At 37.9% G+C, this 26,822-nt stretch overlaps 1 protein-coding gene across 1 annotated transcript in view; it reads left to right on the top strand.

The window, feature by feature from the left end:
- HAS2 (hyaluronan synthase 2) overlaps positions 1-26,296 on the top strand; it is a 29,325-nt gene extending 3,029 nt beyond the window's left edge. The window contains exons 2-4 of the mRNA NM_005328.3: positions 9,072-9,698; positions 21,206-21,307; positions 23,374-26,296. Coding sequence (NP_005319.1) covers positions 9,072-9,698; positions 21,206-21,307; positions 23,374-24,303 — 1,659 coding nt within the window. The 3' untranslated portion in view covers positions 24,304-26,296. The remainder of the gene's footprint in view (positions 1-9,071; positions 9,699-21,205; positions 21,308-23,373) is intronic.
- The last annotated feature ends 526 nt before the right edge of the window (positions 26,297-26,822 follow it).

Raw genomic sequence — 26,822 nt, 5'->3', positions numbered from 1 at the left:
AAAGTTATGCAGTTTATAAAAATTCAAGGACTTAACAAATCAGTGACTAGCATTAAACTCTAAGGTCACTTTCCATAAAGCAAAGATATTTAGTCAGCTACCTTCCTGGAAATTGGGAATTGTGCAACAAGTGAATAAGAAACTGTTACTAGAAAGTAAGTTAGTTGGAACCACTCATTTTTGTTAGGTCTGTAGAATATAGCCCCATAGTATTGAATTTCATAAATACTTTCCCATACATGGTTTCCTTACTAGGTAAGATTTTTAAAAAAATTTTTTTCTTGAATTTTTAAACACTTACTTGTCACTGGTTCATTTATTTCCTGTTGTTGGCACTCTGGGGAAAGTCCTTTGTCTATGGATCAAGGTAGACATACCCTTTTTCAAAGCTATATTACACATTTACTTTCAAAGTCTAAGAACAAGTAGTTTGTTACATTACTAGCTTTCTGGCTCTTGTATGAAGTGTGATCCCTGAGTTAAAGTAATGAGAGGACAGAGCATAACCCCCATGTCTCCTTCTGGGTTCTCTTTTTATCCATGCAAACCCATGCCGTGTTTCTGTCAATGACAGAGTTGGTGGCAGCTGGTATGCCAACAGAGTGGAGGGACAGCTACCTGTAGAGAACTCATTTCCATCACCCCAACTTGGTATTTTATCCTTTCCCTTCTAGCAGCAATCTGTGTAGAGTATTATCCTACTGCATACAGCCTTAAATTATTTAAGCATATTTTGCTCATGCCTATAATTCCAGCACTTTGGGAGGCTGAGGAGGGCAGATCACCTGAGGTCAGAAGTTCAAGACCAGCCTGGCCAAAATGGTGAAACCCTGTCTCTACTAAAAATACAAAAATTAGCCAGGTGTGGTGGTGGCCACCTGTAATCCCAGCTACTGGGGAGGCTGAGGCAGGAGAATTTCTTGAACTCGGGAGGTGGAGGTTGTAGTGAGCCAAGATCTCACCACTCCACTCCAGCCTGGGTGACAGAGTGAGGCTCTATCTCAAAAAAAAAAAAAAAAAAGTCTATTTTGAATGGTAGTCATGTGGAGTTCATATATATACTGCCTTTCCCACCATCTAGGAGAATGTTACTGATGAGAGTCAATTAAATATAACAAGGCCACACTGTTAAATATTTTCTTATTTAAATTAAGTAAATTTATTAATGAATGCCTCTTAACTGAATACATCTGTACTGCAGATAATTAAAAAATGAGTTAAAAGTGTATTTAATGAAATTTTAAAATATACTGTAAGACAAAATATGATCTGGCCCATAAGAAACAACAGCTATTGTTTATCACATGTCTAGTATGTTTCAGGCACTCAACTAGATGGTTTACATACATATATCTAATCCTAATCTGCAAAGAAAGTTTTATAAGTAAAAGAACTTTGCCTCAGAAAAGTTAAGCAATTCACTCAAAGTGAATTAATAAGGGGTGTGGATGGAATTTAATCCAAGAATTCTTGGAATATAATGCCCTTGAATTGAATTCATGCTAATTTATGCTGCAGCTGCACTAGTCAAGTTTTATGGGGGTTCAAATTGAGAAGTCACATCTGATTGAAAGAGATCAGTAAAGATTTCCTAAAGAGACTTGGCGTTTGTGCTACATTTGGCTCTGTAGGTAGGGTTTTGACCTATAGATATAATTCCCAGGAGCCAATGTAGGTACATATAAAACTAAGATTCCATGTCAAGTCATTTGGTAATTTTTTTCCCCTACACTGTGAACTAAGTTTAGGATGGTGAAGTTCAGGAACCAGTAGAGCAGTTGGAAGAACACACATCCTAAAAATAATTTATTAATATAGATGGTGCAAAGGAAAAGAAATCTGAAACCTACAGTTCTGAACCCAGACACCGCTGGAGTGACAAGTCCTGTAAAAAAGGCTTGTATACTAACCCTGGAAGCTTGGCTCAAGGGTCTTTGCTAGGATAACTGCAGTGGGACTGGAGAGAAAAAGGCAGACTTCAAAGCCAGAGAGGAAGAGAAGGTCAGAAGGGGAGAAGGGAGGTTGGGAGGGGGAGTCGGGAGGGTTCATGATTTGTGTTCCAGGGGGTAATGTGCTGTAATGTGAAGACTGCTGCGGGGAGACTTCATTTGGGTCCTCCTATCTCAGATTTCTACGTAGGGACAGTAGCAGAGGGAATACACATCAGGGATGGGTATCAATGTGAATGAGGTCATGAAAGTCTTATTTTACTTTAACCTAGTGGTTGCCAAACTTTGTTATATAGCTGAATTGCTGGAGGAGATTTTAAAACTTGTGATGACCTGGGCACAGCCCATATCAATGAACTCAAAATGTGGGAGCCACAGATCAGTAAATTTTATGGCTTTGCAGGTAATTTGCATATATAGCAAAATTTGGGAACCACTACTTTTTAACCTTTTGTTCACCATACCTTCCTAATCCACTCAGCCAGCAGATAGCTACCACCTGACCTGAGTATGTCTGCTTAGAAGCAGATTTCTGTTATCCTTGCTAGTGTCACCAGCCTAGATAAATATTCCCAATTCTAATTATCATGCATATGATTTAAGGCCTATGGCCCCTTCTCCCATACAACATGAGTTTATGCATAAAGACAGCCTATGTTTTAGAACCAGTTCACGCCTTCATTAGATAAACATTCTTTAAATGTCTCATCATCTTTTGTGCCTTTGTGTGTTTAAATATTTGGCCAAAAGTTGAAAAGACACTGAACTTAGACTTCAGTGGATGAAGAGACGCAATGAATAAGAGGCGCAAGTGTACTTTACAACTTAAGTTCAAAGATATTAATTGAATTGTCCAAGGACACATGACTTATTCATAGAACCCTCAAGCGGTTTGTCTGAGCCAGGTTGCTAATATGAGGCAGAGTGCAGACTTGAATCCATTTCTTCTGATTCCCAGTCCTCCTATTCTTTTCATCATGCCATAGTTATTACTTGTTAACCCATAAGTAATGGGTTAAGTGGAAGGAGAGTCAGGGTTATTAGGTAGTTACTGGCAGGAAGCTAACATCACTAAGATCTAATTGTTGATAATTTCTTTTTAAAATATGTACTTAGATTCCTTTTTTAAATCTCATAATCTATTTTATGAGTCAATATGATTAGCTCCATTTTATAGATGGAGAAACTGAAGATGACAAGTGTTGTATAACTTGCTCAAGGTCATCCAGCCACTAAAAGGAAGAGCCAGGATTCTATCCCAACTCAGTCTGGTTCCAGAGGTCAAATTCTCTGAAATTGGTAGTAGATGGCAGAGCTGGGATTTGAACACTAGTATAACTGACTTCAAAATATTTGCTAATCTGGTTAATACTAGATAATTTATTTAGTTGAAGAGACAAGACATACATGCACACATGCTCATAAGTCACTGGAGCCAAAATATAAAGCAGCATATGGATTAATAGACAATAAACACTGTAAGGGTACTGGAATTCAAGATGATAAAAGTTGATGCCCCAAACTTGAACCCTGAGCTCATAAGATAGCTCAGATTGCAACTTACAATCCCTGTAAATGCTCTTGGGGACCATCTGCCTTTTCTATCTTTGCTTTCCAAAGGCCTTCTAGACCTGTTCTGGGACTCCCCATAACCATTACCTTTAGACATCTGGGTGAAAAATTATGGGGATGGTTTCTTAAAAAAAAAAAAAAGACTGTTTGAGGGGTACCCTTAAGGGCTTGGTTGTCTCTACTACATATTCATTGCCTCTGCAGTAAAGATTGGGGTAGGACCTGTGTCTGTAAGTCTACATTGACTGCCTGAGTCCAAATGGGCTTATTTATTTATTAAAAATGTATTTATTGAGTCCCTGCTATGTGCCAAGCCCTGGTTTTCATGCAAGGACAAACCAAATAATTGAACTACACAAGCTCCCCTGGCCATAGAGTATGTGCATGTGTACTCTCCGGCCATACATATATATATATGCTACTTAGAAAATCAAGCAGGTTAAGGGGAGAGAGCATGGCAGGGGGTGAAGAGAGGGCAAGGGTGGAGGAGTTGCTTTAGAAGGACAGATAAGCTAAGGCCTCCCAGAAGAGGTATCATCAGACCTAATTGTAGTCTTTCCCAGATGCTGACTCAATAAATTTGAATTCATTTCAGCTTCTTCCAGATCCAAAATGGAAGGACCACTTTATGAAAACTAGGGTAACTCTGGCCGGGCACGGTAGCACACACCTATAATCCCAGCACTTTGGGAGGCCGAGGCGGGTGGATCACCTGAGGTCAGGAGTTCGAGACCAGGTGGATCACCTGAGGTCAGGAGTTCCAGACCAGCCTGACCAACATGGAGAAACCCCGCATCTCATAAAAATACAAAATTAGCCAGGCGTGGTGGCACATGCCTGTAATCCCAGCTACTTGGGAGGCTGAGGCAGGAGAATCACTTGAACCCAGGAGGCGGAGGTTGCAGTGAGCCAAGATCGTGCCATTGCACTCCAACCTGGGCAACAAGAGGGAAATTCAGTCTCAAAAAAAAAAAAAAACCCAAAAAAACAAAAAACTAGGGTAACTCCATTGAACTCAATTCTCACTGTTGAACTGGGGCAGTGAGAGTAGATGTTACTCTCCTTTCATCCAACATTTCACTCTCTGCTTAATACAAAAAGGTCAAGGCAGAGGAAATGGCTTCGAGGTCCAGTGACCTGAAGAGTCCCACTGGGGTATATGAGCCAACGGCAAGGCTGTATATCTGCTCCACAGGTGGAAGAAGTGGGAACACTAGTGCCTTTTTTATGGTAACACAGGATTTTGGCTGTTGGCATTAGGAGCAGAATTGCTATTACATAGATGGAACCAGGCTCTTCCTTTGAAACAACCACTTTTCATGTCTCTTTAGGTCGTTTCCACATAGAAAATATATGAGCCCGAAATCTCAGTATTGGCTAGCCTTGTGTCTGTACTTGAGTGAGTGCCAATTTCCCATTTTCTATAACAGTAGGGAAACAATTTTCAGGCTGGGTGTGGTGGCTCATGCCTATAATCCCAGCACTTTGGAAGGCCAAGGCAGGCGGATCACCTGAGGTCAGGAGTTCAAGACCAGCCTGGCCAACACGGTGAAACCCATCTCTACTAAAATATAAAAATTACACAAGCATGGTTGTGCATGCCTGTAGTCCCAGCTACTCGGGAGACTGAGGCAGGAGAATCAATTGAACCTGGGAAGGGGAGGTTACAGTGAGCCAAGACTGCACCACTGCACTCCAGCATGGGAACCTGGGTGACAGAGCAAGACTCCATCTCAAAAAAAAAAAAAAAAAAAGGTAGGGAAACAATTTTCAAAGTTTGTTTCTAATCTTTCCTTATACGATGACATTTTATTAGCCAGAAACGAAAGAATGCCACCTATTTTGTCATGAGGATTCAAATATATTCAGCAAATTTATTGAGAATAATTATCTGGCCTTATGCCACTGTGTGGATCCAACTCCTAGTTTTTTGACTATAACAAGTTAATTAAATACCCAGAGTCTTGGTTTCTTTATTATATGCATAGTTATTTGTAACATGAGATTAATAATGTGCTTACCACCCAAAGTCATTAAGAGTAAATAAGATTATGCTTAAAAAAAGAAACTTGCCCCACTGCCTGAAACCTAATAAATGATGAATAAATGTTAGCCACCATTATAATAATGATGATGATGATGATGATGATGATGAGTAAATTTGCACTCATGCATTCAACAGATATTTACTGAACAGCAGCTATAAGCTGGGCAGTGTTTTATGTCCTTGGGACACGTTAGTGAAAACAGATTATATATCTCCATTGACTTTGTGGAGATATATATAATGATATACATTATAGTATAGCAAGCTGTTCTTTAACACTTGGTTTGGCCTAATTCTCTGGAGAACACAAGTTAGTAAATATTTGGTATCAATTAGTAGGCCAAAGTCTCATACTGGGGGAAAAATTAAAATTTTAATTTTAAATATTTAGAGAGTGTAGATTTCAAAATCATCTTTCTACCTAGTAGTAAGTACTTATAATTTAGGATTGAACTAACTCTATTTTCCAATTTAACTATACAGTCATATGTCTGACAAGGAGAGTATGCTTATGAAACAGAGTATTTGAATTGGGGATTGTCTCAGAAAGTCTAACACATGGTGCCCATATCAATGCAATTGCCCAGGGGAAATTATAAAGAAACACGTCCTATGTGTCACTCCCTGAGATCAATGTATTCCCTCAGCAAAGCTGGCTCTAAAATGTGCCTTTTGCCTTTTGGTCTGTACCAAGATGCTGTGTGTGCCATACTAGACAACACTGAGATATCTTGCAGAAATATAAAGGTTCACTTCTAGCCACGTTGCTGTGGTATGCTAGTAAAGTACTTTTCCCAAGCTTCAAAAGGACATTCTGTAGAGTCTTATGATGTAAGAGGGTGTTCCCACTTCAGCTGTGGCCAGCAGATGCTATGTCAACACTCTCTATGTCCACGTGTGCTGATAAAAGCAAGGAAAATGTGAATAATGGAAAAGAATGGCAGGCAGTTCTTTTGCTGGCTATGGTGATTTTAAACACAAGCTAAATACACACTTAAGCTTCTCCCTGGCAAAGTGATTTAGTCCCCTTGAAATTTTTCACTCTTGTGAGAATGACTCACGTCTTGGAAATGACAAGTTCCAAGTCTGGTGCTCCCAGCACCTTCAGGCATTGGTTAATGTACCATGTGGGAGTTTTCAGCATCCCCTCAGCTGTGTTAATTAACAAGAGATGCCGTACTTGCCTGCCTTTCACTGAAAACTCAGCATTTCACCATTCCCCAACAGTCTAAACTTTCCACTTGGGTTAAGGTTACATTTATCAGACTCCTGCATTACACGCTATGGTGTCCCATATAGTTGCTAGAAGTGGAACACCAATTTTCTTTTTGTTGTGTTTGCTTTTTCGCTTCCTGGTTAACTGATCCTTTAAGCTGCAATGCATTTCTGGTTTTTAAAAACACTTTCATAAACACTGTTCCATTTTGCTCCTCACCACAGTCCTGTGGGGTCTTTGACAAGTTCTGTTATTTCCATTTAACAACAATAAAAAAGAGACGTCCGCAAGCTAGAATCCTGATGTCCAGGGCACTTTGCATTATTTAAGTTATACTAGTGCAGTACACCAAGCCCCAAATGCATAATGGACAAACAAAAATCCAGAAATTATTTTGTGCCAACGTAAGAGTCCTTGGCAGGTATTCCTGTTTGGTGGGTGGCTCCCTTTCATATGGCAATCCAAGGACCAAGCTCCATCTATCTTGGGGCTTTCCAATTCCCTAAAACATTTTTAATATGTGTATCAAGCCTGTGGAAGGGCCAGAGAGATGAGAGGAGGTATATTCTCTTTCTTAAAAGATCTTACTGGAAGTGGCATATCTCAGATTTCCAAAGCCTGGAATGACTTGGCCATACCAAGTCTATGCTCAGGAAGGAAAGGTAACACAATTGGTAAGAAGCCACACTAAGGTTTCCCAAAAGTACAGTGCAGATCCCCTTAGGACCTTCTCAATGTACAATTGCAGGGAATAGCAGGTGACTGTGTGAATGGTGCCTCTTGGAGCTGAGCAACGTGGTGGCCATGCAGCTGTTGATAGCCTAGAGGATACTGTGTGAACAGTCAGTGTTAAGTTTGCATGTGGATTACGAAATTATAAATAGCACATCAAGCAAAAGATTTTGCAAAGGTAATTGCTTAGTCTAAGTTTCTATTTAAAATAAACTTATTTAGCTTTTAAAAATCAATTGAATTAAAGAAAAAGATTAAGCACTAAATACATGTAAATATGAGAAAAGCCCAAAAATGGATGCGAATGACTAAAGATGAAGATATTGCATTTATACCAATTATATCTTCTTTGATAGTTCATCCTTGGAAGAGGAGGAAAATAAAACTCCAGGAGGAAAGAAATGAAATAAAAAGGGTTGCCAACCACCACTTTAATGCTAAGCATTGGAAATGCTTTGGGAAATACAAATCCTTTGGGAAATACAAATGTTTTGGGAAAAATGGTCCTTTTGTCCTTGAGTTGTTTAAAACTTTTTTCAGGAGATAGACAAAATTTAGGGGTGACTGCAAAACTGACTATTACTGAGTGGAAACGTGTTTCAGGTCTAATGTGCTATGGCTTTTAACAGGATGGAAACTCACTTGCTGAAATAAATCATGATGTTATTTGTCCTTTAATGTATTCACTATTTCTACAAACATTTATTGTGTTTACTGTGTTCCAGTAAGGTTCATGATGCTCAGGATCTAATCATCTAGTATTCATGATGGCGGATGGAGGAGAGAGACTTTGGAACAAAGGAGTATAATTCAGAATTACGGGGCTTTAATAGACATCTATGCAGGGTACTTAGGGATGGAAGATTTTTAGTGTCAGTGAGGACTTCAAAAATACTCAATTCTAAAATCCCTCATTTAACAGATATTTTTACAAAACAACTGAGACCCAGAGAGGTATGGTGACTCACCCAAGGTCACACAGTTAGTTAATGAGCTAGTACTAGAACCCAGTATCCTGATCTCCAATCTCAGCTGGCTGCAGGGAAAGGATGTAAGTTGAAGAATACACATTGGAGGTGAGATTAAATTACACATGAGAAATTTAGCAAAATCTCCAGTGGATTTTTTTCACTGGCCAATATCAAGGGGTGAGGGGACTATATAGAAGAATGACTTCTTTGGGTGTTAGAAACTTCAGGGTCCCTGCCTGGCTATGACCACATATATATAGAGTACAGCCTTAGGCAAGTGATATAACACATTAAAGCAATGTATGCAGTATTTGTTTAAAACATTATGGCATTCAGTAGTATGCTGTACCATCATCTCATTTGACTCTTGAAATAACCCTCTGAGGTATGCTAGAAGGGCATCCTTATCCCTGTTTTGCAGATGAGCAAACTGAAGTGCAGAAAGTCACACAATGAGTTGGGCGAGAAATTGAGTGTTAAAACTCCTGAATGCTTCTAGTCCAATACTCTCCCCATGATACTAGGTATATAACAAGTGTGGGACAATCATGGTTAACCAAGAGTATCATCTGATTATATTACAGATGCATTGTGAGAGGTTTCTATGTATCCTGAGAATAATTGGAACCACACTCTTTGGAGTCTCTCTCCTCCTTGGAATCACAGCTGCTTATATTGTTGGCTACCAGTTTATCCAAACGGATAATTACTATTTCTCTTTTGGACTGTATGGTGCCTTTTTGGCATCACACCTCATCATCCAAAGCCTGTTTGCCTTTTTGGAGCACCGAAAAATGAAAAAATCCCTAGAAACCCCCATAAAGTTGAACAAAACAGTTGCCCTTTGCATCGCTGCCTATCAAGAAGATCCAGACTACTTAAGGAAATGTTTGCAATCTGTGAAAAGGCTAACCTACCCTGGGATTAAAGTTGTCATGGTCATAGATGGGAACTCAGAAGATGACCTTTACATGATGGACATCTTCAGTGAAGTCATGGGCAGAGACAAATCAGCCACTTATATCTGGAAGAACAACTTCCACGAAAAGGGTCCCGGTGAGACAGATGAGTCACATAAAGAAAGCTCGCAACACGTAACGCAATTGGTCTTGTCCAACAAAAGTATCTGCATCATGCAAAAATGGGGTGGAAAAAGAGAAGTCATGTACACAGCCTTCAGAGCACTGGGACGAAGTGTGGATTATGTACAGGTAGGTCTCCACATTCCTGCCAGGGCAAACATACATTTAAATAAAGCCGCTTTTGTATCTGTCCAGTCATATGCTATAGCCCATCCTTGTCCCTTCTGAACACAGTACTTCTTTCAGTTCATTTGAAAACAGCATGACTGTTGAAAGCACATTTTGAAAAAGGGAAAAAAAAACTTGTAAAACTGTTGAGACTATCTATGAACATGCTTAATTTGTGCTGTGTTATTGGTTAAAAATCAGGATTATTTTGACAGGAGACCCTTCCTTCCCTTCTCTCCCCCTCTTTTACCTTCTCTGCCCCCTTGGTTCTGCCAAGTCAAATCCAACATCATTTTCCACACTCTAAAACTCTCCAGCTTTGTAAGAAAATAGTGTCTGCCTGAGCAGAAGGGTCTTGAGAAAATCTGCAGGCTGAAGGGAGGCTATAAAATGTTTTTCACAGAGACTGCAAAATGAGGCAAAATGAGGGTGGTGAGAACAATTTTCATTTAAAAGAGAAAAAAAAAATTAAAATTGAGAGAAGGAAAAGGAAAACAAAAAATGAGAAAAAAAAATCTTCGAGCAAAAGCAAAGTAATGTTTATTTCACTCTCCAAACAGCATTACCTCACTCACTGCAACTTGACCTTTGAAAGCATTTGTGATGGTGTTTGCCTGCATGAAAATTAGACAGGCTGTGTCTCCCATTAATTTCCTGAAAGCTCACTATAGGGGTTCTCCTCTCCTGGTTCTCATTGAAGCTTCCTTCTTTAGAACATTAGTAGGGTCCCTGTGAGTTTCTAGTTTTAATTTTCTGCAGATACTTTATAATAATTAGATTTTGGCCATGATGGTATTGAGAGGGGAAAAATGTCTCCGGTTTAAGAAAGGCACTGGGATGTTCTTCCTCTCCTCTAGAATTTCTAGTGAAATTCTAGTTTTTAGAAGATGCATCCTATTCTTTAGGATCCTTTACTGCCACAGAGTCATGCCTAGTGGTTGTCAAGTAGTGAGATAGGAATGGACATTGGCTTTAGAGTCAGTTGACCAAAGTTCTAATCATAGAGATTACTAGCTGGTTGACCGTGGGCAAGACCACCTCTCTGAGTCTCAGTTTCTGGATAGAATAAATTAATGTGTTCCAAGTGTTTAGCAAAAGTTATTTATGATATTATCATTGATATAATTAAAGCTTTTTATATTAATATTGTTGTTTATTATCATTTAGTCCTTGCTCAAATTATAGTACCTGTCAATTGCCACCATATGACTAATTTCAGTTGATGTCTGAAGAGTTTAGAGACATTTCTTCATTATGTTAATCTCCCTTCTAGACAGCTGGGAGCATTTCTCTGTCAAGTTTCTCCTAATTTCTCAAAGGTAAAACTTCCAAGTTAAGGTAGTTTCAGTTATCTTTGGACATTTGGTATTTACATAGTACAACTTTGGGCTTAGATGAGAGGATAATAGGCTATTTTCAAAGGGAAAGGATGACTGAGAACTTATAGAGGATATGAAAAATGAAGTTCTGGACTTTAAATGAGAAAACATCTGTTTTGATATTTTGTCTTTAATTTTAGTTAAAACAATTGCTACATTTGTCATTTCTAATCAAGGCCTCATTGTTTGAGGGTTTTTTCTTCCTTTTCTTTAAACATGCTCCTCCCAAACCCTCTTCTCCCATCATTTTTGTTTTGAATTTTGTTTGTATCCTTGGCAACTTTATGCTGTGCCTGTCCAGGAAAAAAATAATACAAAATATGAAATATTAGAATAGGCCTCCTGCTAGAGCCCTAATCAGGCTTGAGAACTTTTCTTCCTCCAGGCTGAGATAGGGGAAGTCTCCAGATACACTGACCCGACCAGCAGCTTTTAACTAGGCCCTGATGCCTCCTGGGACTCTCAGCCAGTTCCAAACACTCACACAGGAGTACAAATCTCTTAGCATTCTGAAACTGGTAATTCCATCTTTTCATCCCTCAGTAAATCCCCTGATATTTAACCATGTGTGACCTATAAAAATGGCAATTTCCTAAGGTTCAATTCACAATACTAACCACTCCCATCCTCTATTCTAAGTGTCCCAGGATTTGAGAATTGCAAAGCAGAAACCACAGAAAGACAACTAAGGGAAAAGGGGTTTGAAGATGTTGGCTGCTAAGCATTACAAGTGATGGAACTTGGAGTGCAGGCTGGTTAGGGAAAGAAGGAAACAAAGTTCAGGTGGTAATACACAAGAGAAAATGGGGGCTGGGGAAGAAATTGACCATGCTTACAAACTTGCTGGAGAATTCTGCTTAACTGTGGAGAGAGATGGCCAAAAGGATTGGTTTCCAGTTGCAGCCGAATCCTTGGCACTCTTCAGCACTCTTTTCACTTGGTCTTGAATAGATGCCTTGCTTATTGCTCTCATAGCCTATTATTTCATACCTTCACCACTTTCCCAAAACCCTATCCAAACTCCTCTCTGCTTAACTACTAACAGATGACCTTGCCTCCTACTAAAGAGAAAGTCAAAAGTACTAATTCTGAATGCTGTCAAGATCATCTTTACTCTCTTCTTAAACTGTTTCAAGAGTATCCAACCTCACTTCTTGTCTCAAAGTTATTCTTTTGATCTAGCTCTTGAGACCACTGGGCCTGCTTCCTCTTGTCTCCTTGGGAATAAAGCTTTAACAGCTACCAGCTCTAACTCTGTCTCAGCTTTCATCTCCAGTCTTCTCTACCGACTGCTCTCTCGGCCCTGTAGCTGTTCAAATAATTAATGCTGACATAGAACAGTAAGGGAGTCACTAGTCACAGAGAAACCCAGTGTGGTAGCAAATTTATCTGATGATGCTGGTGGGTACTTTCAGAGATAAAGAAGATAGAAAACAGAGGAAGGGAAAAAATAAATTGAGAAAAGAAGTTAAAGAGGGCCAGTGTGGTGGCTGACGCCTGTAAGTCTAGTGCTTTAAGAGACCAAGGCAGAAGGATTGCTTAAGCCCAGGAGTTCGAGACCAACCTGAGCAACTTAGGGAGACCTCATCTCTACAAAAAAAAAAAAAAAAAAAAAAAAAATTAGCTGGACTTGGTGGTGCATGTCTCTGGTCCCAGCTACTCGGAAGGCTGAGGTAGGATTGCTAGAGCCTGGGAGGTCCAGGCTGTACTAAGCCATTATCATGCCAGCCTGGGTAACAGAGAAAGATCCTGTCTCAAAAAATGGAAAAAAAAAAAAAGTTGAAGGGAATGAATTTTTTTTAAGAGTGACAAAGATTTTCAAAATTCAGAATCAATGTATTTTCTAGAGAAACTTTGTTTTAAAAATGGATAGATTCTGACCTGTTCTGAGTATGGCTTAATGTTGGACAAAAGTTTGTACCTCTTTGAAATAGTGTTTATACTGGCTTTTTTATTTACAAAAGTAACACAGGCTTATGGCAGCATGTTTTAAAAGTATTAAAAAAGTACAATGAACAAAATTAAAATTATCTTAAACAAATACCCAACTGATTGACACTTTCCAATGTATATTTTTCTGTTTTTTCCCTTGTTTTTAGAACACTTTGGGATTATGTTAATGTTTTATATTTTTTAAGTAGTGTTATCAGAAAACGTAAAATATATTTGGATGTCTTTTTTTTTTTTTTTTTTTTTTTGAGACGGAGTCTCGCTCTTTCGCCCAGGCTGGACTGCAGTGGCGCTATCTTGGCTCACTGCAAGCTCCGCCTCCCGGGTTCATGCCATTCTCCTGCCTCAACCTCCCAAGTACCCGGGACTACAGGCGCCCGCTACCACGCCTGGCTAATTTTTTTTTGTATTTTTAGTAGAGATGGGGTTTCACCGTATTAGCCAGGATGGTCTCGACCTCCTGACCTCGTGATCCACCCGCCTCGGCCTCCCAAAGTGCTGGGATTACAGGCGTGAGCCACTGCGCCCAGCCGGATGTCTTGATTATATAATTGCTTTATTCCTGTCTCTTACTGAACATGCGTATTACCACTCACGTGGCCACCAGTCTATGAGACAAAGGAAAACATAAAACAGTATCCCCTGATGTCTGCATTAGGGACTTCCTAGGTAGAAAATATATAACAAATATGAACATCTTCTAAGCTGGAAGATTATCGGAGGAAATGTCACTATTGATTTAATATCACAGCATTCTACATATCCAGAATTCTTTGGGGAAAAATGTAAGGCTTTATTATTCCTAACAGTAGAGTTGACTGTGATTATTACTGGATTCTGTATTTGCAAATTTGTCTACTCAGTAAAACGTACTTGTAACCCTAAAATCAATAATTGCAGTCAGTAGGTGGTCATTTGCTGACAAGCACACAGTGGCAAAAAATTTGAGTCATCCAATGTGCATGTTCCAGCTGAGGTCAGACAAGGTGATGCTTTGGCTTCTTGTTTCAGCTTTTATACTGTAAACAATTATCCTCTTCATGGTCTCTTTAGTGCCACATTTTTCCCTTTTTTGTGCTTTTCCTTGGTGATGTAGCTCTTTAACATGGCCTTGAACTGTAATGCTGAAATGCTATCTAAGCACAAGAAGACTGTGATACACCTCATGGAGATGAATTTCCTTTAGGCATGAGATATCGTGCTGTTGGACATGAGTTCAATATTAATGAACCAACTATATGTATATTAAATAAGGTACATATAAACAGAAGCACAGATAAAACAAGATTATATGTTGTCAAAATGTTGTGGCCAGAGGTTCGGAGGAACCCAGCCCTGTGTTTCTGCTAGAAGCACATTTTCAGTATTTTCCAGTTCAGTGTTCCTGGCAACTTTATGTAATACAACTACCATAAATAATGATAATCAACTGCGTATGACATTTGACTGGTTCCTGTTTTGTTCTGTATAGAAAGCCTGAGCAACTGAAATATTCTGAGGGCCAGTATTGAGAATAGTAAGTTTATTTTTATCTTTCATTTTGGAGGTTAAGACTAAGAGCTCACTGAAATAAGAATGAGGAAATCTGAATTCTATACCCAACTTTGTTGTTTACCTGCTATGGTCCTGGCCTTAATGAATCATCAACTGAGGTAGTAGACCAGATGATCTCTAAGATGTCTTTCAGCTCAAGATTCTTAAGTCAGTATTGGTGTAATTCTTCTGACATCTTAATTATATCTAGCAAATACTGAAGCTCTGCTAGAGCAAGATCAAAAGAAAAAGGGATATCAGAATTTTCATTTGTTGGTTACTATCGTGTGTCTCACTCTCACTTTTAATCTGCCTTTTCCCCCCAGATTGCTTCTTGAATATAAATCTTGATTTAAGGGCACCATTATGAGCTTCCCTGATTCCCTTCTTTAGAATGAGAATTCCAAACATTTGGAATAAGGGTCCTTCATGGTTTAAGCCTTAGAGGTGACAGCATTTGGTTTCTCACTTTTCCAGCTGGCTCGTCACCTTTGTTTTGCACCTTTTATAACTTTCACTCATTTTCAACTTTGCTAAAAAGGAAAAGAGAATAACCAAATGACTCCTTTTTTTCACTTTAATAATTGGAAGAGATTGGCTGTCTGAAGGCAGGAATTATTTTATAATAATTTGGATAATTCATTCTACTAAGGAAGGCTTGTATATTCCTAATTCCTTTTAAGAAGAATTACAAAGAAGTACCAAACTGCACAGGTGTCTATAATGTAAAGGCTTTCTGTTGGCTAGATTTGAGATCCTGTACCATAAACCAAATTACTACAAGGGAAGAACCTCCTCCCCATCCCCCGTTCCTTTCGCAAAAGAAAGATGATGTTTTCATTGAGGACTATTTTTTTTTTTTCTGGAATGGTTTTACTCATTAATTTCAAAAAGCTTTTGTAGCTCTAAAATGTTTAGATTTTATGATTTTGTATTTGTTGCTTAATTTGAGGCTGCTTAACTTAGCTATATGTTTATATGTAAATTCTATTCATCTAGAATTCACATAAATAGAAAATCAAGATTAAAAAATAAAGTTATACAATCTTGATAAAGTCTTAGAAGTTTGTTGTAATATTATTAATGAACATGCACTAGAGCTTTGGATTGATTTTTTTTTTTTTTTGGTTGTATGAGAAATTTTAAATTGTATGTAATATTCCATCTTTATAAAGTCAACTTCTGTCCTCACTGTTTTGTTTCCCCCAAATCTTGCATGTATTGTGGCCCACTTTTTAGTATATATGAGTTCCATTTATTGAGCATTTACTGTGAGCTAGCCATTACTAACAGCTTTACATACATTATCTTATTAACACTAGTTAATTACAACAAACTTATGAGGTAGATGTGATTATCCATATTTTTCACCTACAGAATGGAAGCTTAGGAGGTAAGGAGTCTGTAGTGAAGAAACGAGTCCGAGTTTACATAGGTGGTTAATGGTGGATTGGGATCCAGATGAATTTGATTCCAAGGCCTTATATAGTACTTTTTTTGTTTGTTTGTTTCAGTAGTGTGTTTGCTCTGAGGTTGTACTGGTAGGAGTTCAGGGGGAATGGTAGCATCTTGTATTTACTAAGTAAGTATTTGTGGAATTTTTTGTTCCTGCCATTACCCCTTTTTACTAGAGAAATTGGGATGGGGGGGTGATGCAGAATTTCTATTTACTTTTGGGTTAAGTTGTGGGAGGAAGCAAGAACAAATGCTACACATTCTAGAGATAGTCTCATTGGGTGAAGGTTAAGATGAAGAGTCAAGGTTAAGATGAAGGGTGAAGGTTAAGATGAAGGGTTAAGCCTTACAAGCAGGAAAAAGGTGAAGCCTTTTTCAAAAGAGTTTTGATTTATTTTCAACCTGTTTCCTCATTGGAGGCAGCCAGAGTAATTAAGATTTCTCTCTTGCTGTGTTAGCTGTCAATGCCCTTTGAAGTGGTATGGGAGGAAGTGAGGAGATCCATCAGTCTGAAAAAAAAAGACATTAAAAGTAAAACATGGAGATTTGGCATTTTAGACTTGGATCAAGGCATCTGGTAGAATAGATAACAGTATTTCTACAGGAGATTTTTATTTAGATTGTTGTGAGATAAATTAACTTTAAGATTAGTGAGATAAATTAGAACAGACAGGAATGCTGTAGATGCTTCCAGATAAATTTGAGTTTGTTCATGTGGTAAGAGATTCTGTATATGTAATCAATTCCTATGTTCCTATTAGTGATTGTTGCTACTGAGCCATCTATTTGTGATAATTGACATAATCCTTTAGGTGTGGGTTTACTTAGAAAGTATAAAATATTGAAGACTATTACCTTATACTAATGGAAATACTTCTCTACAGTCCTTTGTAATTCACAAGGTACTTTTATTTGCAGTGTCTCACAAATGTCCCATGATGATGGCAAATGGCTCATTCAAGGTTATAGAAGTAGTAAGTTACAGGACTTCAGACTTTAAGGCTTCTTGATTTCATGGGTACTTGCTCTTGTAATAGGCAAAATCTTGGCTGAAGAAAATCTAATTTTTTAATATCCTACACTTCAGGCTCTTCCTAACACAGGGAGATGGAGACAGCTTTTGCAAAATCTACTAAATTAAAATTGGGCTTCAAACATATTTAATCTCAACTTCACTGTTATTTTTAAGAAAGCAGAACCTTCCCCGTGTAACCAGTTATTTTGAACCCAGGGTTGGCAAACTTTGCTTATAAAAGGCTAAATAGTAAATATTAGGCTTTGCAGGCTATATGGTCTCTGTTGTAACTAGTCAATTTTGCTGTTGCAGGGTGAAAAGCAGCCATAAATAGTAAGTAAATGAGCAGGCAAGGGTGGATGCATGCCTTTCTGAGCTTTCCTTTCTGATACAGCATGCATCCAATAAAACCTTATTTATGAACACTAAAATTTTAATTTTATATAATTCCCATGTGTCACAAAATATTCTTTTTTTGATTTTTTTTCAACTATTGAATAATGTGTAACCATTCTTGGCCCATGACCCATATCAAGACAGGTGGCAGGCTGGACTTGACCAGTAGGCCTTGGTTTGCCAATCCCTGTTTTAGATAGGGGGGAAATGGAGGGAATTAACTCTTGGCTGGAGTAGTGAGGCAGGAAGAGTGATGGTCTTATGCAATTTAGTGGATGATTCTGTGGTTAAGACTGAGGTGGCTGGTTCTTCTAAATAATGTCTTCTTGACATGTTTCATTTACTCAAAAGTTGGTGACTTGCTTCATTTCCATATCTCCTGGTGAGAAATCTTATAACTAGTGATCATGTGGTTTCAACGAATTACGCTGATACACTTAGTGTGGCCAAAAAGATGTTTCAGTTTGTTCTCTTTCCTGTGTGCAAATGCTGTCCTGTACTTTTTCCTTATGTGAGGTTCAGTTCTCCTTGAACTGGGGCATGTCTCCCACAGATTGTAATCCAGGGCTAAATAGTTGACATTCGTGAAATTGCATACTTGTTACCGATGAGTGAGGAGATGGCTAGAAAGCCTGTTCTTGCTGTATGGATTTTAAGAAGGGCTAAAATTATGCTCTTTACACCCTACTGAGTAAATTCCCTTGTGTCCATGAATACACATGCTTTCACAAACTGTCAAAGACCATGGCTTTCTAGCTGGCATTCTATCACCAAACAGCATCCAGTAGTTGAAAAATTTTAAAGCTGTTAAATCCCATGGTAATAAACCCTTTCCCAGGAGATTTCTGAGCTTTCCTTTCTGATACAGCTAAATTCACCATGTGAACAATCTCTCTCAGAGAACTTCTGGCACTTTGCTATTGGAAATTGGGAGGGGCAGGGACCAATTGAAATATGCAGAACATCATAAATTTGGTTCCAGTGTAGTCATTTCAAAGAGCCAGTTCTCCTGGCTTGCTTGTGCTCACAAGCAGACGGAGTTATTTGAACATTAACTCTGGATTGCCCTCTTCCTGTTGTTTTTAGTCTTATTTTAGCCTGGTTTTACCTTTTCCAGCTTGAGTCAACAGAGGTGGGTGTGGTAATAAACTCAGGATGCTGGAGGCTAAAGATGAGTTAGAATTTCTGCCTTCATGTTTTTCTAGCCTCATCACAGACCTCCTGCCCACCTGGTAGCCACATACAAACCAGGGATAGACAGGGCATGGGAGAGGCAAAACATCACTTTCGGGGGAATTCTTCTAGGTTCCGGAGGCTTGAGATGCTTGGATACAGACCCAGGTGTCAGTAAAATCCTGTTTTTTACAATGAAAAGCGAATGCCTAGCTTCTGCCTAATTTTTTTTTTCTTAAAATAAGTGAGACTATGCTGAACCTAAATGGAATGACAAAAAGACAGTCAATAGGGTTTCATTTAGAAAATGAGTTCTTCTAAATAAGGAGAATAAAGTTTTAAAAATTCAGAAGTTAACCCCAAAATTGCTATAATTAAACCTAGAAGGGTGATAGGTTCACCTTCTGATGCCCCATATACTCCACACATTATGATTTCCAATAATGCATTTAAATTGCTATTTTCACCAGCATTCTTCATTAACATGAAACCTTTTCAGAAAAAAAGCTAGTAGTAAAATTGAGGTAGATAATTTTATTTTTTATTTTATTTTACTATTTTTTTGAGATGGGGTCTTGTTGTGTTGCCCAGGCTGGTCTCAAACTCCTGGGCTCAAACAATCCCCCCGCCTTAGCTTCCCACTGCTCTTCCTAACACAGGTGTTAGCCACTGCACCCAGCCTAGATGCTTTTAAAAATGTTGGGATTCCTTAGTTACTAATGTGAAGGACTCATGCTACATGTATCTAACGTCTCCTTTAATTCTGAGACTTTATGCTTCTACTAATTGGTTAATTTCCTTTTTTTTTTTAAATTCAAAACTGGTATATCAAACACTATTTTCTGTGAGACAGGGTCTCACTTTGTTGCCCAGGCTGAAATACTATGTTTATAGAGTGGTTTGCAGGACTGTTAAATAATTTATTTTGATATTAAAAAAAATTGGCTAAATCTTGATTCAGTCCAACCAGTACAGTCTGACTTGATGGCAGAATAATGGGAATAGCAGATAATAAATACTCAGTCTCTGCCAATCATGCCATTCATTGTCTGAATGGGGATATCAAGCTGATTAATCACATGACAATTCTGATCAATTTATATTTGTTAGGACTTTGCTGCATTTAGCAGAAAATAATATGTCCAATTAGTAAATGTTGGAGGGATAGGGAGATGGGGACTTTTTTTTCCTACTTTTTTTCTATTTCTGATTTTCTCTGATCATATGGAGGAAGCTCCATTGGCAGGTATAACCCATCAGCCTTTTCCAGCTGTTTTCATTCCTTTCCTAAGAGAAAAGGAGTGACTTAATCTTATTAGTGAGTGTGGAAGGAATAAGGGGAAGCCCAGCTCTTTCTGCCCGGCTTTTGGGAGTGGGCACCCCCCCAGGAACAGGTATCAGCTGTACCTTTTGAAGGGACATACACTGTATCTGCAGGAGGCTAGTCCCACTGAGACCCTCTCTGGGACTGAGTAGTTCTGGGAATTACTCAGAATTATGAAGCCCACTTTTCCACATATAAAGCCCTATTCTCCATATCAGCTTTGTAAGCATACAGGTAATAGTTTGGTTTTCCATTTGCTTTATTATTTTTCTGTTTAACTTTTCAGTTGATTTGGAAATCAGTCTGAAAAGAAAAGCACAGTTTATAGCCCTGTGCCCTTGAGACTCCAATAGAAATATCTATTAGGAATACACAGTTATAAACTAATTCCAAAAATTTTCTTGAAGTTGTGGTTGGTCTAGTTTCGGACTTGCTTTTTTTTTTTTTGGCTCATAGAAAGATTGTGTTTAAAAACAACAATGGGCATTTCTAGAATAGCTTAAAGTGATTTATATCCACTTTTAAATTCAGAGGGCCAGATGAACACTTAATACTTTAGAATAAAAAGGTGTTGAAGGTCCTGCAAATCCCCTTCCTGATACAATGTCATTTGCTAAGCCCGGGTCATATGGACTTTAGAACTATACAATCTTTAGAACTACACTATTGCTTTAGAATTATACAATCCTATGTAGGAGAATTGCTCTCCTGTCATTTATTTGCCATATTAAAATGAAAGGTAAAATCATTACTAAATATGTCTCCCTTAAGAAAATGTCATAGAATTTTCTTATCATTCAGACCTGAAAGACAAAAAGGCCTAAAAGCCTTATTGAAGGTAACAAGAAAACATTTTTTTTTTTCTTAAACAGACCTCTAGGGGGACCAACCATTACAGTTTGCCAGGACTGGGGGTTACCTGGGATGTGAGACTTTCATTGACAAAATTGGGAGCATCTATGGCAAACTGGGACAAGTTGATCACGCTACAAGTCATACTTAGCACATCACTTCAGCTGTTCTACCCAGCAATGTCATTAACTTAAATATTGAGTTTGCTGAAAAATAGGCTCTTTGTATTGGCCATGATATAACAAGGCCTCTGTTATCATCATGATACTTGCTTACTGAGGCCTTGTGACAGTAAGATGAGGACACAGTATGTATGTGAAATTTTGACTACAGGGAATGTATTTATAGTTCTTCCTTTTCTTTAACTCATTTTTCATTTGCTTCTTTGCAGGTTTGTGATTCAGACACTATGCTTGACCCAGCCTCATCTGTGGAGATGGTAAAAGTTTTAGAAGAAGATCCCATGGTTGGAGGTGTTGGGGGAGATGTCCAGGTACATGGCTTCACTTTTTGTTTGTTTGTTTTGCATGAAATACTTTTAAGAGCACTTTTACTCATTGACTCATTGAACATACATTTATTAAACACTAACTCTGTGCCAGGTGTTGTTGTTGGTGCTTGAGACACATTAAAATGTGCCTTGGATCTGCTTCACTGCCTCTTTTCCTATGTAAATTGAAATATAATTTAGAACTTTCTTGCTTAGTCCTGGGGTATAACCCATTTCTGTAGTAGCTGATAAGTTATATGCAACTTAAAATAAATGTGTAATGATTTCCACCATATACCTTTGGGCCATAACTTAATATTTCATGTTCTGCTAAAAATTATTTCATTACAAGGATTAAGAAATAGAAGTATGAGCCGGGCGCAGTGGTTTATGCCTGTAATCCCAGCACTTTGGGAGGCCGAGGCAGGTGGATCACCTGAGGTCAGGAGTTCGAGACCAGCCTGATCAATATGGTGAAACCCCATCCCTACTAAAAATACAAAAATTAGCTGGGCGTGGTGGTGTGCGACTGTAGTCCCAGCTACTTGGGAGGCTGAGACAAGAGAATTCTTGGACCTGGGAGGTGGAGGTTGCAATGAGCCGAGATCATGCCACTGCACTTCAGCCTGGGTGATAGGGTAAGACCCAGTCTCAAAAAAAAAAAAGAAAAAGAAAAAGAAAAAAGAAATAGAAGTATGGTAAGAAATTGGTATATATCTTATACCTATATACCTAAAGGATGATCAATATGTGGTTGATTTAAAAAAAAATCTGAGTCAAAAAGGAATAATTAAAAAAAAACAGAGACTCAAGTTTATACTAGTGAGAAAGGCAAAGAATGGATAAGTGGTTTTCCAATATTGTCCATCATTTGTTATTGATGAAGAAACAATTAATGAAACAAATATCAATGGAGGTAATTTGACATTTGTGGGATGGAAAAATGTATATGTGAAAATATGTGAGGATTAATAAGATTCCCTTGCAAATAAATATGAGGTTAGATTTTAGCAAAAGGTAAGAAAGCACATGGAAAATAGACTTTAAAATTTAGATATTATCATGCTATATAACCCATTTTATATATGTAGTTTGATAGCAAAAGCAAAGAAATTACATTAGAAGGGACAAAGAAATAGCCTGGTGATTTTTAAAAAAAGGAGCTGGCAAAATTGAGACAGAGGAGAGAATGTAGAAATCTAGCCAAAAAAAGCTGATAATTTTCAATAGCCTTTATATAAAGCATTATTTCACGATTCAAATTTGCAGGAAGGCCATGGGAAACTCTCCTATTGCTGCTATTGCAAAAAAAGTGTGGATAAAGGAGAGGAAAAGTAATAGCCAAGGATAGGATCAGTTTGAAATTAACCAGCACAGGAGGAACTGGAACCTAAAAACATTCAAATCTTACGTGTTATGAAAGAGTGCCTGGGAAAAGAGTTTAGGGATTGAGATCTAAAGCCTAAAAAAAAAAAATCTCAATTTGGCCAGGCGCAGTGGGTCACGCCTGTAATCCCAGCACTTTGGGAGGCCGAGGAAGTCAGATCATCTGAGGTCAGGAGCAAGACCAGCCTGGCCAAAATGGCGAAACCCCGTCTCTACTAAAAATACAAAAATTAGCCAGGCCTGGTGGCGCGCACCTGTAGTCCCAGGTGAGGCAGGAGAATCATTTGAACCAGGAAGGCGGAGGTTGCAGTGAGCCCAAATCGCGCCACTGCACTCCAGTCTGGGTGACAGAGCGAGACTCCATCTCTAAATAAATAAATAAGTAAATATCTCAATATGATAACACAACAAACAGAATAAGAATAGCAGAAAGAGGGTAGAGGATGAAATAGAAAAAAATATTCACCATCAAAGAATCGCAACACATGCATACAGCATAACAAATAGTAACAGAATCAGAGAATCAGAGAAAACATAAAATAACCACGCCAAAAAGAGGAACGAAGCCAAAATGGGAGGATAAAATAACAAATATTACTCCAGGTAGTAACCTCAGGATGGAACAGGTTTTGCTGGAATTTTTAGCTAAAGCTTACCTATTACTTATGTTTTTCTTCTTGCAGATTTTAAACAAGTACGATTCCTGGATCTCATTCCTCAGCAGTGTAAGATATTGGATGGCTTTTAATATAGAAAGGGCCTGTCAGTCTTATTTTGGGTGTGTTCAGTGCATTAGTGGACCTCTGGGAATGTACAGAAACTCCTTGTTGCATGAGTTTGTGGAAGATTGGTACAATCAAGAATTTATGGGCAACCAATGTAGCTTTGGTGATGACAGGCATCTCACGAACCGGGTGCTGAGCCTGGGCTATGCAACAAAATACACAGCTCGATCTAAGTGCCTTACTGAAACACCTATAGAATATCTCAGATGGCTAAACCAGCAGACCCGTTGGAGCAAGTCCTACTTCCGAGAATGGCTGTACAATGCAATGTGGTTTCACAAACATCACTTGTGGATGACCTACGAAGCGATTATCACTGGATTCTTTCCTTTCTTTCTCATTGCCACAGTAATCCAGCTCTTCTACCGGGGTAAAATTTGGAACATTCTCCTCTTCTTGTTAACTGTCCAGCTAGTAGGTCTCATAAAATCATCTTTTGCCAGCTGCCTTAGAGGAAATATCGTCATGGTCTTCATGTCTCTCTACTCAGTGTTATACATGTCGAGTTTACTTCCCGCCAAGATGTTTGCAATTGCAACAATAAACAAAGCTGGGTGGGGCACATCAGGAAGGAAAACCATTGTTGTTAATTTCATAGGACTCATTCCAGTATCAGTTTGGTTTACAATCCTCCTGGGTGGTGTGATTTTCACCATTTATAAGGAGTCTAAAAGGCCATTTTCAGAATCCAAACAGACAGTTCTAATTGTTGGAACGTTGCTCTATGCATGCTATTGGGTCATGCTTTTGACGCTGTATGTAGTTCTCATCAATAAGTGTGGCAGGCGGAAGAAGGGACAACAATATGACATGGTGCTTGATGTATGATCTTCCATGTTTTGACGTTTGCAGTCACACACAACACCTTAGTTCCTCTAGGGGCTGTACAGTATTGTGGCATCAGATAATGCCACCAAAGGAGACATATCACTGCTGCTGGGACTTGAACAAAGACATTTATATGGGTTTATTTTCATTCTGCCAAAGTAAAACAATACATCAACAAGAAGAAACTCAGATTTAACCTGTTATTTCTATGAAAATGGGATGAATTCTTTGTTTATGCACTTTTTCCTTACTGTGCATCCGCCTGAAAGTGTTTTGCCCTATATACCTCACTAGCCATGCTTTATGTGGGTTATCATGGAAGAAAAGGATTTTGGAAACTCAAGGAAAAGTTCTTTCAACCTATACAACCTAACTTATGGACTGTTTTGATAGATGATAATTTTTTTTTTTTAGGAAGGATTTTCTTTTTAACTTTACCAAATGAAATGCCAAAGGAAGTTTTAAAGGCCGTTGGCTGTGCTGTATTTTGATATAATTGTACTGTGTTTTTAAATTTTGTATGCCAATCTTAAAGACAAATTTTGCATATTCTCTATTTTACTTTTCTGCCAAAATAAACCTGTTCTTCCTTTTTTAAAATAAAATAAGTTCTTAAAAAATTTATACTTAAAAAATCCTGCCCAAAATGTGAAGCTTGGTTGACTGATGTTCATGATAGAAAGAATAAAATGTTTCTCTCTCTCTACCTTTTAAAATTGAATAGTTTATTTCTGTGAAAGAAGTATTTAAACTTTCAATATTTTAACTTTTTGTTTTTATTTCTTTTAGAAAAGGCCAATATACCTATCACACTTTGGAAGTAAAAATACACACTTTCGTGTGTACCTAAAAAAAAAATCGTTGAAAATCAAGGCCAAAGGTAGTGCAATTTTTTCATTAAGATTTAAAAAAAAGGGAATGATAGTCTTTGAAAGAAAACAGTAGGCATCCAGCACTGGACAAAACATGGGTATCAAAGATGAATAATCTTTGGAGATTCTGGCAGTGTTTTCCCAGAACAAGTCAAGTGGAAAGTGGAGAAATTATCTGTATAATTTTGGACACATACAATGCAGTTTATCAAAGGTTTTGTTCTGTGGCCTGAATTTACTGGGTCCTACCTACACATTGAACATGTTTTGCCTGTCTTTTTTTTTTTTTTCAACTTGCCAGTTCACTTTACATGTTAGTATAATGTTTACACGGGTGAGTTGGATAAATTATAAAACATATAAATTCAAAATTGGCAGATAGAATCACCAAGTATCTATCCTCTTTTACTTTCAAATGAGGAATTTTGTTTTTCTGAATTACACAGATCATCACTTCCTATTTCCTGTTCTGGACCTGTATAAAAATGTCTACACAGTAGAAGTGACATCAAGGTTTAATAAGTATATCAATGATTGGCACATATAAAAATTGTTGAACCACATACTCTGAACTTGGCTAATTTAGTTACTGCAAGGCCTCCATTATCCAGTTTTATTTTTTACACGATTGACCTTGCCTTGTAGCTGGTGCTGTGTAGACCTGTGTTGAAAACACAATCGGAATATATGAATAATTGAATAAACAGCATTATGGTGAGGCAGAGACACATGGAGAAGTGTTAAAAAAAAAATGGGCTTCCTGCCTTTCTGCCTCTTTTTTATGCAGTCATCTATGTTACATCTATCCTGCCTAAGAAAAAGCTGCACATCCTACCTTCAGAGTACAAAAAGGTACATCTGAGACTCAAGACTCTCACTGATTGGAGAGCTTGTGGAAAACAAAACACACCATGCCAATAAATGAGATGAAAACTTGAGTTTGCCTTTTTAACTATTTATGTTCTAAGTTAAGCTTTGATAACATTCAAATGTCAAATTCTCTCATTCTTATAAAAAGTTGAATTAATTGCCTGTATTTATTTTAGCAATTATTCAATGTATTTCCAGTATAGGATGTATAGTATAATTAATTTTTTGTAAATAAAATATTTTTGATAAGATTATTGCCTTTTTTTCTAAGGGAAGGGGGAACTTTGTTTTCCTGATTATAATGGTATGAATTTAGGAAGGGGGGGTTTTAAAAAAAATGATGGTTGGTAAAAAAGAATATGTCATTTAATGTTACTTATTATTAGGTAGAAATCCCTAAAACTGGTGTGGTTTGAAAATCTGGAAAACCACAGAGAGAGGAGAGAGACTGCTTAATTATCATTACCCTTGTCTATAATCTTTTTCTTCTGCTTCCCTTGAAAGCAGCACAAATTTAGACAATTTTTTAAATTATAGTAACTTATAGCAGGAAAAAAAATCAAAGATATGCAGAAATATGATAAGCAAGCTTGTTTATTTCAGCATTATTCAGAAATAATAAAACCTTAACCTAAAATCAAATGATGAGGGCAATAATTAAATAAATCATGGCATTTCTAAAAAATGGGACATCATTAGCTATTGAACACAATGTTCTCAGAGAACACGTGGATTTTGGAGAAATGTCACATTAAAAAAATAACCATTTTGTACAGT

This window comes from Homo sapiens, chromosome 8 (assembly GCF_000001405.40).
Source record: "Homo sapiens chromosome 8, GRCh38.p14 Primary Assembly".
Taxonomy (NCBI): domain Eukaryota; kingdom Metazoa; phylum Chordata; class Mammalia; order Primates; family Hominidae; genus Homo; species Homo sapiens.
This window is presented reverse-complemented; position numbering and strand designations above follow the sequence as displayed.